The sequence below is a fragment of the Homo sapiens genome, chromosome 5, assembly GCF_000001405.40.
Source record: "Homo sapiens chromosome 5, GRCh38.p14 Primary Assembly".
Lineage (NCBI taxonomy): Eukaryota > Metazoa > Chordata > Mammalia > Primates > Hominidae > Homo > Homo sapiens.
This window is the reverse complement of record NC_000005.10, coordinates 138,438,819-138,456,147: the sequence shown is the minus strand read 5'-3', so window position 1 is coordinate 138,456,147 and position 17,329 is coordinate 138,438,819. Positions and strand designations below refer to the sequence as shown.

The following is a 17,329-nucleotide window of genomic DNA, read 5'->3' as shown; positions in this document are numbered from 1 at the left end:
ATTTGTCCTTTTGTGTCTGGCTTATTTCACCTGCCATAATGTTTTCAGGGCTTATCCATGCTGTAGCATGTGTCAAAATCCCATTCCTTCTTAAGGATGTATAATGTTCCATTGTATATATATACCACATTTTGTTTATCCACTTACCGACTGATGAACAGAGGTTGTTTCCACCTCTTGGTGACTGGGAATAATGCTGCTGTGAACATTGATGTGGAAATATCTGTTTGTGGACTCAGGGTTCTAATTCATCATAACCTGTAGCTCTCACAAGGGGAATCAAAGTCAGATTTAAGAAAGACCTCATGGTTTCCTACTACCAGTGACCAAAGTAGCAACATCTCCCTCTCTGGGTAGCTTTAATATTCAGAGACTCCCGTGCTGCCCCTCATCACACCCTCTCCAGATGGAGATAATGCCGGGAAGGGTTGCCCTGCTGGAGGAAAGAGGCTTTAAGGGCCACCCTGGGGTCAGAGCTCTGGGTGGTTTACTTTTAGGAGCTGGGTGGTGGGGCTTTCATTGTTTTCCCTTGGGCTCTGGTACATTTGCCACCACACTCCAACCCCAGACCCTGCTTTCTCTTTCTCCTTTCCCTGGCAACATCCAGGCTGTCTCACTTTTTCTCTCCCAGGCTAAATCGAGAGTGTGAAGCTGCTCTTCTTCCCAATTTAGCATTTGAATTAAAGCGAGAACTGAATGTGGCTGGAAAGCTGACTCCCATCTGTGTGTGAGAGAGAGAAAAGGAGCACAAGTGAGCGTGGGCACACGCTGGGGCAGCCAGGGCAAGGGCAGCCGATCCGGGCAGCTCTTGTTTAGCGCAGACACTCATCCTCGGGCGTAGGCAACAGCTCAGCTGAGAGACACTGAAGTTTGAAGGTTGCTGTTTTTCCAGAAGGGAAAGATTGCTGCAGGGGCATCCTTGTAACATTCTACACAAATGTGCCAAGTGTTTATCGTGTGCCAGGCCCCGTGCTGGAGATGCTGGGCAAACAGTGGGGAGCCAGCTGGGCCCATTGTCTATGCCCCAGCCTTCAGGCTGGTGGATAAACAGACTGGGAAGCAGGCAATGGGCACACAGGGCAATGTGTGCTGTCAGGGGGAAAGGACAGGTATGTCAGGGGCCTGGAGGGGCATCTGACAACTTGGCAGTGGGGTGGAGGAGTCACTCTGAGCTGAGACTCGAAGCACACACAGGAGCTGACCAGGTGAAGCAGGTAAACAAGGGTGCTTCAGGCAGAAGGAAATGTGCATGCAAAGATTTGAGTGGGGCGGGCACGGTAGCTCACGCCTGTAATCCCAACACTTTGGGAGGCCGAGGCAGGAGGATCCCTTGAGCTCAGGAGTTTGAGACCAGCCTGGACAACATAGGGCAACCCCTGTCTCTACAAAAAATCATTTAAAAAAATTGGCCAGATGTATGCCATCGACCTCATGCTGAAGTGGGACAACCGTCCAGATGGAAAGCGGGTGATGCAGCTGCAGATCCTGGAGGTGAACTTCAACCCTGACTGCAAGCGAGCCTGCAGGTACCATCTCTCCTTCTTCAACAACGTCTTCAGCACCTTGTTTCTGGACCAGCCCAGTGACTGTCATGTCGCCTGCCTTGTCTAGGCACTTGCTGTCCCAGAAACCTATGCTTGGGGCAGGATTCCAACCTCAGTTCTCTGAGCTGCTTCTGCGAAGGCCCCCACGCCCCTCCCCACACTGGCTCTGGGCACAGCCTCAGCCCCAGGCCTCTGTCCTCCTGAGTCATCCTCCCGGCCTCACACTCTGGAAGCACAGCATCCTTCTCCCACCTGTGGGTCAGAGCAGGACAGTGCTGGTGTCCCCAGGACTGAGCACCACCCCAGGGCCTGTCCTCACCCCTCACCACCATCCATGCACTGATGAGTCTCTGGCTTAGCCAAGGGCTTCATTCCTGGCATGCAGAGTTTGTTCCCGGCTGCTGTGTTTCCAGGGGGTGCTGGGGAAAGGGTTCCGTGGAGCGAGACAAGGTGTCCTCGGGAGCAGGATTCCACAGGGAAGCGTTTGGGAGCCCTGTGTTGCACGGGGCAAGCGGGTTTCTCTTCCAGGGTCTCTGCTCTTATGTATCAGGACAACCCGGGGACGGGTGTGGGGCCCCACAGTGTGCCCACAGGGCTCTATGTGACAGGTGCCCAGGAACAGCCTGAGGCCACCGCCCAGCAAGCCCACCTTATCACCCATCTCCAGCTCACCCAGAACCTTCACCAGCAAACCTCCCGCTGAGGTCCCGGCAGGAGGCCACCGTCTTCTGTTACTGTTTCCTTTTCCATTTGCCGAAGGTCACAGACCCTAACAGGAAAGTCAGTCCATGTCTTCCCAGTGGTTGCCCTGTTTGCCAGGCACCCCGCAGGGTCCCGCCCTCCTCTGAGATGGGCCAGGATCTTCCGGTGAGGGGGGCCTGGGGCTGGGGCTGACTGTGGACGGCGGAGCGCCAGGCAGAAAAGGATTCCAAGGAGAACTTCAGGTTAAAGTCAGATGCCACCTACCAGCGTCTACAGTCAAAATGTTCGTTTTTTCTTATTTTTTAATGTATGGGAGAAAAATGTAACATTCCAGTTTTCTTTTTTTTTTTTTTTTTTTTTTTTTGAGACAGAGTCTCACTCTGTTGCCCAGGCTGGAGTGCAGTGGTGCAGTGGCGCGATCTCGGCTCACTGCAACCTCCACCTTCTGGGTTCAAGCGATTCTCCTGCCTCAGCCTCCTGAGTAGCTGGGATTACAGGCATGCATCACCACACCCAGCTAATTTTTGTATTTTTAGTAGAGACAGGTTTCACCATGTTGGTCAGGCTGGTCTCGAACTCTTGACCTCGTGATCTGCCAGCCTCGGCCTCCCAAAGTGCTGGGATTACAGGCATGAGCCACCATGCCTGGCCTAGTTCTTTTCTAATTGTGTTTCTGAAATATGGAGTCAGCTGCCAGCGTTTCTTGTGTGGCTGCAGTGTGCCTGGGCCAGGCTCACGGGCAGTGGGTGGGCCTAACTCCCCAGGCAGGCAGGAGCTGCTTCCAGAGCCTTCCAGCATGCGGGAGGGCAGGGCTAGGCATGGCGGTGTCTCATCTTTGAAATTAAGAACAATCTTTCTTGTAGCAAACTGCACCTGATGATGCTGCCTCCCCTCTCTGTGTTGTCTGGGCCCCTGTTTACAAGAACCCCTTGCCCTTCCTGGGGGGAGCTGCGCTCTAGCCCCTGGGGGGCCTGTTGCAGGGATAGGGTGGGCCCATCACCTTTGGTGGCTCCTGGAGAGCTGTTTACATGCAGTCCTCCTCACTTGGTTCGTGCTGCAATAAAGGCCATCTTCTCTCAAAAAAAAAAAAAAAAAATTGGCCAGGCGTGGTGGTGTGCGCCTGTGGTCCCAGATACTTGGGAGGCTAAGGTGGGAGGATTGCTTGAACCCAGGAGGTTGAGGCTGCAGTAAGCCGTGACTGTGCCATTGCACTCTAGTGTAGGCAATGAAGCGAGAAAGACCCTGTGTCTCCAGGAAAAAAAAAAAAAGATTTGAGGCCAGGCATGGTGGCTCACATCTGTAATCCCAGCACTTTGGGAGGCCGAGGCAGGCAGATAATTTGAGGTCAGGAGATTGAGAGCAGCCTGGCCAACATGGTGAAACCCTGACTCTACTAAAAATACAAAAATTAGCCAGGCATGGTGGCGCGCACCTGTAGTTCCAGCTACTTGGAAGGCTGAGGCAGGAGAATCTCTTGAACCCAAGAGGTGGAGGTTGCAGTGAGCTGAGATCATGCCATTGCACTCCAGCTGGGTGACAGAGCAAGACTCTGTCTCAAAAAAAAAAAAAAAAATAGATTTGAGCAGTCATGGCTTCTGCAGAGCAGGGAACTAGTACTGGGTAAGTTGGGCTCCAGAGTTTCAATGCTCCTCCTCTCCACCTCCTTGTCCTTCCCACTCCTCCCCTTCTTCCGGGAGAACAAAACCAGGTGAGAGTGACCTGTGCTCGAGGAGTCTAGGAGCACACAAATGTCCTCTGCTTAGACTCCAAATAATCCAGGAGCGGGCAGGGAGGCTGCAGTCTTATTCTGAGTTGGCCACCCAGAAAGCTGGACCTGGCAGGCCCAGGATGGACATGGAACAGAGGAAATGGGATCTCAATCACACCGTGGGAAATCGAGGTATCAGGAAGGCTTCTACCTGGCTTAGCTTACTCCACCCTTCCTGGGTTGGAGGTGCTAACTGAGGTGATCTCTGGGGGACGCTTCCTTTTCTTAGTTGATGGGACTGAATCATGATTCTGGCTGAGATGGGAATGGGGTGAAGTCTTGGCAAAGAAAGACCCTCTATTGGCCAAGACAGGAATGAGCTGTCTGGAGGACCATGCATTTCCCTATCAGGAAAATGACAGGCACACACAGTTAAGGGATGCTGGTGTAAAACTCACCATTAATATTTCAAGCAGCATTATTTATTGATCACTTTTCTGGCTGGGACAAAAGGAGAGGGTAATTCATAGGGGATGCAGGGCTGGTAGGGTCAACTTGGGAAAAAGGTCAGGGAAAGGTAGATCATTGAGGAGCCTCACCCCCAGCCCCTGCAAGAATACTATGGGATTCCAGGATGTGGAGACTAGGGACTTTGTCTTTTTCTTTTATTTTTTACTTTTCTTTTTTTTTTGAGATGGAGTCTCACATCGTCGCCTGGGCTGGAGTGTAATGGCGCAATCTCAGCTCACTGCAACCTCCCCCTCCCAGGTTCAAGCGATTCTCCTGCCTCAGCCTCCGAGTAGCTGGGATTACAGGTGTCTGCCACCATGTCACACCTGGCCTGACTTTGTCTTTTTCAACTCCATAGTACCCCAGATGAAAATACAGGAAGGGTCAGGGGGCACCTGGAGCAGGCCTGGGACTGCCACTGTGGCCATCAGGGAGACCATATCCAGGGAATGTCACAGCTATATGAGCTTCCCTGCCTCTGGACCCAACTTCTCCTTCCTACCTCCCCGCCCCAGTCCCCATCCCTTGCTGCCTCAGGGGTCCCTCTCCCCTCTTGATCCTGAATTCAGCTCCAGCAGCCTCTCTAGATGCCATTTCAGAAGCCCAGGTTGGGGCCAAGTGCGGTGGCTCACGTCTTTAATCCCAGCACTTTGGGAGGTGGGCGGATCACTTGAGGCCAGGAGTTCGAGACCAGCCTGGCCAACATGGCAAAATCCCATCTCTATTAAAAAGGAAAAAAAGGCCGGGCGCGGTGGCTCACGCCTGTAATTCCAGCACTTTGGGAGGCCGAGGCGGGCGGATCACGAGGTCAAGAGATTGAGACCATCCTGGCTAACACGGTGAAACCCCGTCTTCACTAAAAATACAAAAAATTATCCGGGCGTTGTGGCGGGTGTCTGTAGTCCCAGCTACTCCGGAGGCTGAGGCAGGAGAATGGCGTGAGCCCAGGAGGTGGAGCTTGCAGCGAGCCGAGATCGCGCCACTGCACTCCAGCCTGGGCGACAGAGCGAGACTCCATATTAAAAAAAAAAAAAAAAAAAAAAAAGCAAAAAGTAGCCAGGCATGGTGGCCTGTGCCTGTAATCCCAGCCACTTGGGAGACTGAGGCAGGAGAATCTCGTGAACTCAGGAGGCGTAGGTTGTAGTAAGCCAAGATCGCGCCACTGCACTCCAGCCTGGGCGACAGAGCTCCGAGACTCTGTCTCAAAAAAAAAAAAAAAAAAATCATCCCAGGGTGAGCTTGGCAATTTATCTGTTCGGGGGAGGGTGCTTGCTGGGTGCTGGAACCTCACTGCAAGTGGGGGGCTTCTTCTAGGTCTGACCATCTCCTGGGGCAGTAGGTGTGCACACAGACTGGGCTTAGGGGGAGACTGCTGGAGAACCCACAGCTGTCCTGTTCACCCACAAGAATGCTTTCTTCATGAACCTCCAACTCCAGGGAGCGGAGGATGAGGCACTCTGCTCACCAAACCTGGAGCCTACTGGCCGCGGGAGAGGATTGTCCGCGGGGCCGGGGAATCCCACATAGGGAGGCAGCTGCGCCACCTAGTGGGCTTTTCCATCCTCGCAGGCATCCCTCCCACGCCTCGCCGCCTCCAGCCTGGATATGGCACCGTTTCAGGCAGGACACACACAAAAGCCGCTGTCCGGTAAGGACAGGAGATGCCCTCCTCCTCCCGACGGACCTGACCCAGCTCAGAGAGGGAGAAACTGGGGGGATGTGGGAGGGGGGTGATCGTGCACTGGCGGAAATTGAAGATAGTGGGGAAGCCAGGAGGGGCTTTGGGCCTGCAAACAGCCTCTCCCTGTCATTCTGGATGCCACAGATATGGGGACCATGGCTCAGAGCCCCCAAGGCCCTCCCTTCTGTGCCCGCCCTACCTCCCTCCAGGCCAAGCAAAGCTGGGCTCAGCTCTGCCGATCAAGGGAGAGCTGGCAGAGGCTGGATGGAGCTGCTGGCTTTCCTCTGACGTCACAGCCTGGAAATCCCATTTTAAGCAGGTTCTCTGGGTGTAGGGCACCCACAAGAAAGGGAGGGGGGGCCAGCTGAAGAAGCTAGAGACCTGAGGCTGTTATAGTCAGGTACCTCAGGCCTGGAGGGCTGCCCAGCGATCCCAAGGAGGCCTGGGCATGGGACCCAGCGCTAGCCTGCCCCAGTCCCTACCCAAAGCTAATACCTCTCAAAGGCTCCTGGGGACCCAGGCAGTGATCGAGCACCCTCCACATAGCTCTGGCCATCCACCTATTTCTGACATCTCTTTCCCACTACCCTGGCTTGGAGAGATCTACGGAGGCAGAGGGGAAAGGGGAGAGGGGAGATTGTCCCAGGGAATGAGGGGACAGCAAGGGGTCACCTAGGCCCAGATGTGTGCCACCAGCCAGCCTCTTTCCCAGGAGCCTTTCCACCCGTTCTTCTTGTCACCCTCCATCTCTTCTCTCCTCTGCACCACAGGGGGCAGGCCCTGTGCCCAGAGTTCTAGAAGCCTGAATGTTTCCATAGCAACAAACCAATGAGCTTGGAAATCTGAGCATGTTCCTGTGGACACAGGGAACCCCTGATGTGCACGGAGAGCTTGACAATGCAGAATCTGGATGTGACCTGCCTAGCCACCAGTCACTGTAGATGTGAGCATGCTCCTCCTGAGTGTGAGCCAGTGTGTGTGTTTGTGTGTGTGTGGTATGCAGCAAATGAGATTTAGGTTAAAGAGCGCCTAACCTGGTTTCCTGGGCATATGGTAGCTGTTAGCGTGGGACTGCAGCATCTTACTCTCTGGGGACTTTTCTAGAATGAATCCCTCCCCTAAATTTTACTGTGGTAGCTTCCTCTCCTTTCCGATGGAAAAATGAGCCAAAATTGCTGAGAGGCTGATGGTGAAGGTGATGCCCCTCAGAGGGCTGGTTGACTGGAGGATTCCAAGGAAAGACAAAAGGGACACCTCACATCCCCCACTGTGACCTCACTTCAGGGGGCTCTTGGCTAGCTTGGCTCAAGTGTGGAAGGTGCACATGCCCTGTGATGCCAGGGAAGGAGGAGGAAAGCCTAGTGTAGGGGCGCTTTGCCAAACTTGGGGTCCAGAGCCTGGGTCTGGGTCCTACTCATACCCCCTACCCACCCCATGGTCTGCTTCGTTCATTTTCCTTCCACAGGCTGAGCTATTTCTCTGATCCCCTTTTTCCTCCCTTACGGCTCTTTTCCTTAGTCTCTCCTCCGTACCTGCCTCTGCTCCTCTGCCAGCCTTTCCCTCCCCCTGGGTTCCGGCTTCCCGGGGGCTCATCCCCAGTCAGTTGTGCTTCTTGGCCCCTGGAGCTCTGGCTCTGCGTCCCAGGGCTCGGACCCCATGCCCTGCAGCTCCCTTCTCCTCCTTTCCTCCAACCTAGCCCAGTAGTCAGGGCTGGACCTCTGCCTTTCCTGGTGCCACACAGGCTGTGCCTCTTTGTCTCAGCCCTTGGTTCCCTCTCTGTCCCCAGGGCTGGTTTCTTCACAAGCCCTTGTCCTGTCTTCCCCATCTCTGCTTCTTCGCTCAACCTCTCTGGCTCAACCCCCTTTGGTCTTTCTAGGCACAGTCCCCGAGGCCTGCCCCACAGCTCCATATCCTATCCTCTGTCCCCTGGGGGCCTCACTGGGATCTTTGTCCCCCAGAGCCTACACCTAGCACTTTCTGTTGGATACCAGAAGGTCCACTCAAGACTTGGGGTAAGATTCTGAGGGAAAAGACAGTCCTTGGGGTTGGGGCCCCTGGCCCTTCTTAGGCCTCTGGTTTTTATTTATTATTATTATTTTTTAAATAGAGACATGGCTGGGCGCGGTGTCTCACGCCTGTAATCCCAGCACTTTGGGAGGCCGAGGCGGGCAGATCACTTGAGGTCAGGAGTTCGAGACCAGCCTGGCCAACATGGTGAAACCCAGTCTCTACTAAAAATACAAAAATTAGCTGGGCATGGTGGCGCATGACTGTAATTCCAGCTACTTGGGAGGCTGAGGCATGAGAATCATTTGAACCCAGTAGGCAGAGGTTGCCGTGAGCCAAGATCGCGCCACTGCACTCCAGCCTTGGCAATACTCAGTTTCCCCCCCTAAAAAAAAATACAGATGTGATTTTCGCATGTTGCCCAGGCTGGTCTCAAAATCCTGAGTTCAAGGATCCTCCTGCCTCCACCTCCCAAAGTGCTGGGATTACAGGTGTGAGCCACCACACCCAGCTAAGCCTCTGTGGTTTTTGTTTGTTTTTTGTTTTGTTTGAGACGGAGTCTTATTCTGTCACCAGGCTGGAGTGCAGTGGCACGATCTTGGCTCACTGCAATCTCTGCCTCCCACGTTCAAGCAATTCCCCTGCCTCAGCCTCCCAAGTAGCTGGGACTACAGGCACGCGCCACCATGCCTGGTTAATTTTTGTATTTTTAGTAGAGATGGGGTTTCACCATGTTGGCCAGGATGGTCTTGATCTCCTGACCTCGTGATCTGCCCGCCTCGGCCTCCCAAAGTGCTGGGATTACAGGCATGAGCCACTGCGCCCAGCCTAGGCCTCTGGTTTTATCTTGAGTCCCAAAACCATTTTCCCAGACTGAGCCCCCTCAAGCCCATCTCTTAGCTGGGCACCAGAGCTCCTGTCAGTCACAGGCTGGCCTCCCCACTCCCCCAGCTGAACCCTGCTTCTCACTTGAGGTCCTTCCCACCTGTCAGCTGGTGTGGCAAGAACAAAGCACAGAGGCCAAAATAAATGAGGTGCCAGAGTTTGGTTTATTGGCTCATCCAGTGCCAAAGGTCCAATGGGCACCCTCTTCCCAAGGAACCGGGAGCCCCGCGGCTCCTGCATTTCTCTTTCTCCTTCACGTGTTCCTCCTGGCCCTGACTGAAGCCGTGGCAGAAGCTGGGGCGGGTGTGAGCAGAGGCTGGGTTCTGCCAGGGGTCTTAGGGCCCAGTCTGCTTGGTACAGGATGGGGACCCTGGGCAAGAGGGGATGGACCCCAGGGGCAGAGGAGAGGGGCCCACTCAGCAGGGGCCTGTACCAGACAGAGCAGGGGTGGGCCCTGAGGAGCACGGGAGTCCAGCCCAGGGGCACGGTGGCAATGGGGTGACCTAAAAGGGAGCAAGGTCATAGGAGCAGGTGAGAGGCCCCCCAGATCCCCGTTCTCTCATGGGCTGGGTCCTCTGAGGCTCAGAGCCTAGGATGGAGGGTTGAGCAGGGAAAGGGCCAGATGACTGTGGGGCTCAGGGTGGGAGGAGGCGACTGCTGGAGGGACAGTCCTTGACCCAAACTACCCCGAGCCCTAGACCCAGAAAGACACACTCACACAGCCCTGGACCCCCCTTTTTAATGTGGGAACATGTGGCACTCAGCCCCACCCAATGACCAGGAAAAGAGCCCCCAGCTGCAGCTCTGGCCTGGCCATCCTGGTCGCTGAAGCACAGGCCAATCCCTGTCTTCCATCCACAGCTGCACCTGGAGGCCCCACCCAGGGTCCCCAACGTCCTCCCCGTGTGCTCCCTTTCCCCCATGTGCCTTCAGGCCCGTCCTTGGTCCATCTGGGCTAGGACTTCCCCCTCCCTGCTCCCAAACCAAGGCGAGCAGTGGAAACACGACAGGACCTCTGAGAAGCGGATTGCTATGGGCTTCAGCAAGGCACTGGGTGGGTGGGGCAGGGCGGGGCTGCAGCGGAACAGCGGTGGAGGCCGAGCAGTCCCCACCTCCTTGGGTGGCTCAGTCCTCAGCCTCTGGTCCACCCTCTACCCTCAACCCCCACAGCTGGGCCTCCTTCCTCTTTTCCAAGCCCCTTCCAGAAGAGTGGCCACTGGGCAGGCACCGGAAATGGCCATCTGCGGGGCCCAGGGGCCTGAGACACCTAGGCTACTGGCACAGTGTGGAGCAGGGGCTGGGTCTGAGGCCCCTCCTGAGGCTTCATCCTTGCTCTGCAGCCTGCGGGGGTGGAGGGGCTCAAGCTGAGTCGCCCCCGCCAGAGGTCTTCTTCTTGGGCCGGGTCTTCAGTGTCTTGGAAGCCAGTGGCTGTGGAAAGAAGGAGGAAGATGGGGCTCAGCCTGGAGCCGCCACCCCCTGCCTGTTTCCCCAAGCTCTGGCCAGTGCCCTCACCTCAGCTTTGGGCGCTTTTTTGATGGGTTTGGCCCTCTTGGGAGCTTTGTCTCCCATGTCATCCTCAGAAGCCTCTGTCCGGGAATCTGCCGGGTTTGTGCTGGACCTTAGACTCAGGGCAGGGTCATCTCCTGGGTGCAGGGAGAAAAGGAGGTGGGGGAATCTTTCCCATCTGGACTCCTTGCCCTTGGGGCCCCACCCCAACCCCGGGCCCTGCCTGTACCTAAGTCCTCGATGGTGTCCAGGAGGCTGCCAGGGCTGGGTCGGAGGCGGCCGTCAGGCCTCTGCAGGGGCAGTGCGTCCTCGTCCCGGATCAGGGTCAGGTCCTGCATGCTGAAGCTGCGGAGCTTCTCTGACAGCACCCCCTGGCCCTAGGGTCACCACCACGCACCGGGAGAGCCGGGGGGAAGGGGCGGGGTGGAGATAGAGGTCACCATGGTGCTGGCAGCAGCCCCAGGCTCGGTGCCCTCCCCACACTGTCCTCACCCAGTCCCACACAGACAGAGCTGAGGGCTGGGGCAGGGCCACACTTTGCCTCTGGGGACAGATGGGGAAATGGCCGGACAATCAAAGTGACTCGGCCAGATAGCAGTAGAGCCTGGACTGGAGCCTCCAGCTGCATGAGCCCAGAGTCTCTACAGCCCCGAGTACAGGGTGGATGCAAAGGGGCCTGGCCAGGGCCCTTTGTACAAGGTAGGGGCCCTGGGAGTCTGAGCCTGCCCCCATCTCACCTTGGCGGCAGCTGTGACTGCAGCATTGGCGGCAAGGTTCAGGCCCCTCTTGCCCACCCTCATCATGGTCTCATAGCTCTTGTCTCGGGCCTGCGTGATGTACTCGTCGATCTCCTATGGGATTGGAGGGGAAGGGAGAAGAGGAGAGGTCCTGCCCTACCCTTGTTCACCCCTGGACAGAGGCCCCTGCCTGCTCCGGGAGGCCACGGCAGCCCTGCCAAGTCACTTTGGGCTCTGGGCCCCACAGGGAGGGCCAGTCTGTATGAGGCTGCAGGCTCTGGACTGCCTTGGCTGGGGGCAGGCTGGGAGGTGAGCTGAGAGTGGGGGCAAACCTTCTCCTTGTTGGACAGCGTTGGGTGCACGAACTTGCGGTAGAGCACGCTGGAGCCCTTGGTGTAAGGGGACAGCAGCCATATCACGAAGGCGATCTTCAGTTCAAAGTAGAAGGGGAACCTGTTGGGACAGGGGCAAGCGCAGAGTACAGGGCAGGGAGTTGGGAGGTGCCCTGTGTCCAGCAGCACCGGCCCCATGTGTGACCCTGCACAGCCCCTCACTCTTAGTGCACTGGGGTCCCCATGGGGCTCATGGGACTGCTCCTTTCTAATCTGAAAGGGTCTGGAGGGCTCAGCTGAAGCTCCAAACAGGAAGGTAAGCAGTGACACTAGAAGGAATTTCCCCCAGCAGCGACTCTCCTGGCCTCATCCTCTCCCCAAGCCCCAGCCCTCTCACTCCTAGAGAAAACCCCCCTTCCTCTGCCCTAGGGTCAACACCAAGGGAAACTCTTGACTGTGCAGGCCTACACCTGGGTCTTCACTCCTTCCCTTTCTGCCCTCCCTATCATCGAGAGGCCTGGGACTTCTCTAGCTTGCTCTGGACCCTCCTGCCCCACCGTGACACGACCCTCACTTCTCCAGGATTGCCCTTCAGTCCCCATAGTGCCTTCTCCTCTGGTCACAAACTCCTTCAGGTCACCTATGTCCTCACAAAGTCTTCATCAAAGCTCTCTCTTTTGCTGTGTCAAGACACATGTATAGGCCTGGCACAGTGGCCTGTAATCTCCCAGCACTTTGGGAGCCAAGGTGGGAGGATCATCTGAGCCCAGGAGTTCAAGACCAGCCTGACAACACAGCAAAACCCCATCTCTACAAAAAATAAAAAATAAGCCAGGTGTGGTGGCGTGTGCCTGTGGTCCCAGCTACTCAGGAGGTTGAGGTGGGAGGATCACTTGAGCCCAGGAGGTAGAGGCTGCAGTGAGCCGAGATCACACCACTGCACTCCAACCTGAATGACAGAGTGAGATTCTATCTCAGAAAAAGAAAAAAAAGGCATCTATATTTACTACCCTCAGTTTTGTTTTTCACCTCACCACCCTTGCCCTACTCTCATCTTTTTTTTTTTTTTTTTTTTGAGACAGAGTCTCGTTCTTGTTGCCCAGGCCGGAGTGCAATGGCACAATCTTGGCTCACTGCAACCTCTGCCTCCTGGGTTCAAGCAATTCTTCTGCCTCAGCCTCCTGAGTAGTTGGGATTACAGGCATGTGCCACCACGCCCGGCTAATTTTGTATTTTTAGTAGATAAGGGGTTTCACCATGTTGGTCAGGCTGGTCTCGAACTCCTGACCTCAGGTGATCTGCCCCCCCTTGGCCTCCCAAAGTGCTGTGATTATGGGCATGAGCCACCGCACCTGGCCAATTTTTTTTTTAATAGGCAGGTCTTGCTATGTTGCCCAGGCTGATCTCAAACTCCTAGGCTCAAGTGATCCTCCTGCCTTGGCTTCCCAAAGTGCCAGGATTACAAGCAGGAGCCACCATGCCCGGCCTTTACCCTCAATTTTTTTTTTTTTGAGACTGAGTCTTGCTCTGTTGCCAGGCTGGAGTGCAGTGGCACGATCTCGGCTCACGGCAACCTCCGCCTCCTGGGTTCAAGCGATTCTCCTGTCTCAGCCTCCCAAGTAGCTGGGATTACAAGTAGGTGCCATAATACCTAGCTATTTTTTTTTTTTTTTTTGAGACAGAATCTCACCCTGTTGCCCAGACTGGAGTGCAGTGGCTCGATCTCGACTCACTGCAAGCTCCGCCTCCTGGGTTCACACCGTTCTCCTGCCTCAGCCTCCAGAGTAGCTGGGACTACAGACACCCGCCACCACGCCCGGCTAATTTTTTGTGTTTTGTTTTTTAGTAGAGATGGGGTTTCACCGTATTGGACAGGATGCTCTCCATCTCCTGACTTCATGATCCGCCCACCTCGGCCTCCCAAAGTGCTGGGATTACAGGTGTGAGCCACTGCGCCCTGCCATGCCTAGCTAATTTTTGTATTTTTAGTAGAGACGGGGTTTCACCGTGTTGGCCAGGATGGTCTCGATCTCCTGACCTCGTGATCTGCCTGCCTTGGCCTCCCAAAGTGCTGGGATTACAGGCGTGAGCCACCACACCCGGCCTTTACCCTCAATTTTTAACCCATCTCTCCATCTCTTTCCTCTTCTAAAACTATTTTTCTCAAATGCAAGGGTCTTATCTATAAATGTAATGATCTCTTGTCCTCTCCCCCTTGGTAAAATTCTCTTCTTGAGTTCCGATGAACTGTGTTATTAGTCCCCTCTTCCAAGAGGTATCTGATCATTCAGTAAACATTTTTGAGTTCCTGCTGTGAATATACAGATGATTAAGACATATTCCCTGTCCTCAAAGTGCTCATACATACGTAGTCTAGTACAGCCTGGAAAATGCCTTGGAAATGCAAGTATCCAGCATTTATAGGAGTGAATCATATGCCTATTTTACAAATAAGGAAACTGAGGCCTCGAGAGCTGTGACCTGCCTAAGGTCGCAGGCAGCATGGCAGAAGCGGGTTTCCTGAATTCCACTGAGGGGCTCTGGCTGCCGCCAGAAAGAAACATGGGGATTATGTTTGTTCTTACTCCTTGTTTGTTTGTTTTTTTTTTGAGACGGAGTCTCACTCTGTTGCCCAGGCTGGAGTGCAATGGCGCGATCTCGGCTCACTGCAACCTCTACCTCCTGGGTTCAAGCAATTCTCTTGCCTCAGCCTCCCTAGTAGCTGGGATTACAGGGGCGCCACCATGCCCAGCTATTTTTTTTTTGTATTTTTAGTGGAGACGGGGTTTCACCATGTTGGCCAGGCTGGTCTCAAACTCCTGACCTCAAATGATCCACCCACTTAGACCTCCCAAAGTGCTGGGATTACAGGTGTGAGCCCCCTCGCCTGGCACTACTATGTCTGTTCTTCTGCAGGTCAAGTTAGGCATGAGAGGGGAGATATCAAGGACCCCATGAAATTGTCAGGAATGGGAGGAGCTTCACCCCCAGGCCCAGTCTTTTGTTTGGCTGGCTGGGTAGAGAAAGGCAGAGGCCCTGGGCCCTGAGATACAGGAGGGGACGCTGGACCTCACCAGGAGAGCACTATATCCGTGAGCGTCTCGGCCGTGGTGAAGAAGGCAAAGACGATCCAGTACATCATCCATTTCACCTGAGGGACAGAGGGAAGCGCTGGCTGGGGCACGGGGCTGAGGGGCCAGGGACACCCAGGACCCCAGCTCTGCCTGTTGAACATGCCTGGGCTGGGGAGAACACCAAGGACCCCACTTCTGCCTGCCAGCCATGTTGGAGGCGCTGTGTGGGACACCCAGGGCCCTCCTTTGCTGGTGGGTCTTGTTAGTGGCTGACAGTGTTGGTGCAAAGTCACCCCCATCTGTAATAGGACCCAGTGCCCTCCCCTCTCTGTGCCATGTGGGTTGGGTAGGGGGTGAAGGGTCATCCACTCACATATTCCTTCACGTTTTTTGTCTTCACGGCCTTGTAGGAAGAATAGGCTGGGTACAGGGTGCCAAAGATGAGCCTAGGGAGGCAGGCATGGTTACTGGGCCTCTCAGCCAAGGGCAGTGGCCTCTCCCTCCCAGCTCCGCATCAGCCCCTGGGTAAGTAATGGGAAGAGAGACAGAACTCCCCGCTGGACTGATGAACTCAGGTCAGGGGTTAAGGTCAAAGCAGCATGGAACATGCCCAGCCAGGTAGGGTGATGCCCCCTCCCCGCTCCACTGTTCAGTTTTTCTCTAGCCCCGGAGGCAGGGAAAGGCCCAGAGGCCAGAGGGTCCAATGTAGTCCCTTGCGCCATGATCCTTGGTTACACACAAATATGTCATGGAGACTGGGAGTCAGGTCACTGCCACAGGGTGTCTTCCTTCTTGACCTCATGCCCATTCACACCCATCTGCCCTTACCCTCCACCTCCCTCAGAGCCAGGCTCTGCGAGGGAACCTGACACCACCTAACAGGGCACCCTACCTGGCAGGCAGAGGTACCACTGTGGCCCTGGGGCCCTAGGGAACAGAGGGCACAGGGGCAGGAGGCCCTGAGAGAGGCAAAGAGGCTTATTCCCCCATGTAAACACCACAGGGACAGGGCTCAGGGGAGGGCCCCGCTGGTGATCCAAGTACAGAATGCAGACAAGACACAGGCCGGGAAAGAAGAGGACCGATGCCCTTTGGGGCTTGCCCAGGCAAGAGAGAAGCAGCCACCCTGAAGGCCACATGGAGGCGTGAGGCCCCTCCATTCCCCCTGGGATGGGTGGGGGAAGAGAAGGAGTCTAGAGTAAACCAGGACAGAAGCACTTGGCCGGCCCGGCTGTACCGAATGGGAAGAAGGGAGCAGGGTGGGGCTGCCGGTGTCAGTCCCCAACGGTGGAGGCCGAGGGGCAGTGTCCTCATTAGGGCAGGGGATAGCTCCGAGAACCACGAGGAGCCCCTGTCAGGCTCAGCCCCTTGACAATGTGTGGCTGTCGCCTGTTTCCACATGGACAGGAGGGATACTTCCAAACCGGCTGGTGCAAGTGGAGTGCGGAGCAGAATCCTCAAGGACAAAGTCTGGGCTCGTGGGGAATGGTGTGTGTTCCCTCCTGGGGCCCGGGGAGGTGCCAGAGACACAGCTCCACAGTGTGGCTGGCAGCCTGGAATGAAGGCCACGGAGCGTCCTCCCCCAGCGGGGTCCACAATCCCAGGCTGAGCACACACATCCCCTCTCCCAGTTACCTCTCACACTTTGTCCTCCGAGCATTTCTGCTTCCCGATACCCAGACTTCCTCCCTAGGGGGCCTAAGGGCATATGCCCTCGTCCCCAGTCTCCTGACAGTGAGTGGAAGGGAGAGACCAAGGGGCCTGGTGATGGCTCTGAGCTGCGGAATGATGATGAGGCCCTGCCTTGCTCCACTCTCTTCCATCACCCTGTTACCTCCCCCAGAGGGACAGGGCCCGGGTCTGAGGATCTCCTCCAGCCCAGACCTGCTAGGTGGGGGAGGGGACGCGCCTGCCTCCCCTTTTAAATCAAGCCGTGCTGCTCAGCCTCTAGGATGGGCGCAGGAGCAAGGACGGTAGAAATAAAAGAGGTTATTAATAAAGAATGTGGGTGAGGTCCCTGGGAAGCCAGGCCTGCCACGCTCCCCTAATATTCCCCCCTCCAGTCCTGGGTGCCACATCTCCATGTCTCTGGGGGCCCCAAATAAGGACGCAGCGCCTTTAGGTGACTCTGCTGCACGAAGCTTCGGAGAAGTCCACCCGGGCTTTAACACCCCCGCCCTCCATCACAGCCCGCATCACCCCCCGCCGCCGCCGCACTCACACCACCAGGCGAGAGATGATCCAGGACACCATGGCGGGGCCGGGCGCGGCGCGGGGCGGGGACCCGGCCCGGCCGAGGATGCAGCTGCCTGAGGCCGAGCGGCGGCGGCGGCGGCAGCAGGAGCCGCAGTAGCAGCAGCAGCCGCTGCAGCAGCCGCCGCGGGGGCAGCGGAGCGCCCAGCGCCGCCGTTAAAGGGGAGGTCCCTGCCGCAGCGGCGGGCCGTGGGCGGTGGCGGCTCTTAAAGGGGAGGCCGGGAGGCCGCCGCGGCGGCGGCGGCGCGCCCCCGCCCCGGCACCTGCTGTGGCCGGGCATGCGCCTCCGACCCTCAGTGCCCTGCCTTCCTCGAATCGCTTGTTCATCTTTCTTGGGTTTCAAGCCCTAGGCTGTTGTCGTGGAGGTCTCCATGGTTACATCCTGAAATC

The 17,329-nt window shown here is 56.2% G+C and overlaps 1 protein-coding gene across 4 annotated transcripts, besides 4 other annotated features; it reads right to left on the bottom strand.

Moving 5' to 3' along the window:
- Positions 6,083 to 6,172: an enhancer, noted in NCBI's record as "active region_23204". NCBI's record gives its function as "activates an Ori minimal core promoter by ATAC-STARR-seq in GM12878 lymphoblastoid cells {active_cell/tissue: GM12878}" and the evidence as "EXISTENCE:reporter gene assay evidence [ECO:0000049][PMID:35858748]".
- Positions 6,243 to 6,302: an enhancer, noted in NCBI's record as "active region_23203". NCBI's record gives its function as "activates an Ori minimal core promoter by ATAC-STARR-seq in GM12878 lymphoblastoid cells {active_cell/tissue: GM12878}" and the evidence as "EXISTENCE:reporter gene assay evidence [ECO:0000049][PMID:35858748]".
- REEP2 (receptor accessory protein 2) lies at positions 9,183 to 17,091 on the bottom strand. 4 transcript variants are annotated; one of them, NR_073449.2, is made up of 8 exons: positions 16,908 to 17,091; positions 15,060 to 15,207; positions 14,687 to 14,763; positions 11,613 to 11,733; positions 11,281 to 11,394; positions 10,773 to 10,920; positions 10,550 to 10,680; positions 9,183 to 10,465 (listed from the first exon to the last, which is right to left on the bottom strand). NR_073449.2 is itself a non-coding variant. In NM_001271803.2 (8 exons), the coding sequence occupies exons 1-8, from the start codon at positions 16,937 to 16,939 to the stop codon at positions 10,397 to 10,399; spliced, it is 765 nt and encodes a 254-aa protein (NP_001258732.1). In that variant the 5' UTR covers positions 16,940 to 17,091; the 3' UTR covers positions 9,183 to 10,396. The 4 variants fall into 4 exon arrangements, 2 of the variants coding, with proteins under 2 accessions (NP_001258732.1, NP_057690.2); NR_073448.2 differs by having other exon boundaries at positions 10,773 to 10,914; NM_001271803.2 differs by having other exon boundaries at positions 15,060 to 15,132.
- Positions 15,925 to 16,458: an enhancer, noted in NCBI's record as "H3K4me1 hESC enhancer chr5:137775379-137775912 (GRCh37/hg19 assembly coordinates)". NCBI's record gives its function as "activates a minimal SCP1, AML or CMV promoter by ChIP-STARR-seq in naive H9 embryonic stem cells {active_cell/tissue: H9 hESC(naive)}" and the evidence as "EXISTENCE:reporter gene assay evidence [ECO:0000049][PMID:30033119]".
- Positions 16,844 to 17,263: a silencer, noted in NCBI's record as "silent region_16395". NCBI's record gives its function as "represses an Ori minimal core promoter by ATAC-STARR-seq in GM12878 lymphoblastoid cells {active_cell/tissue: GM12878}" and the evidence as "EXISTENCE:reporter gene assay evidence [ECO:0000049][PMID:35858748]".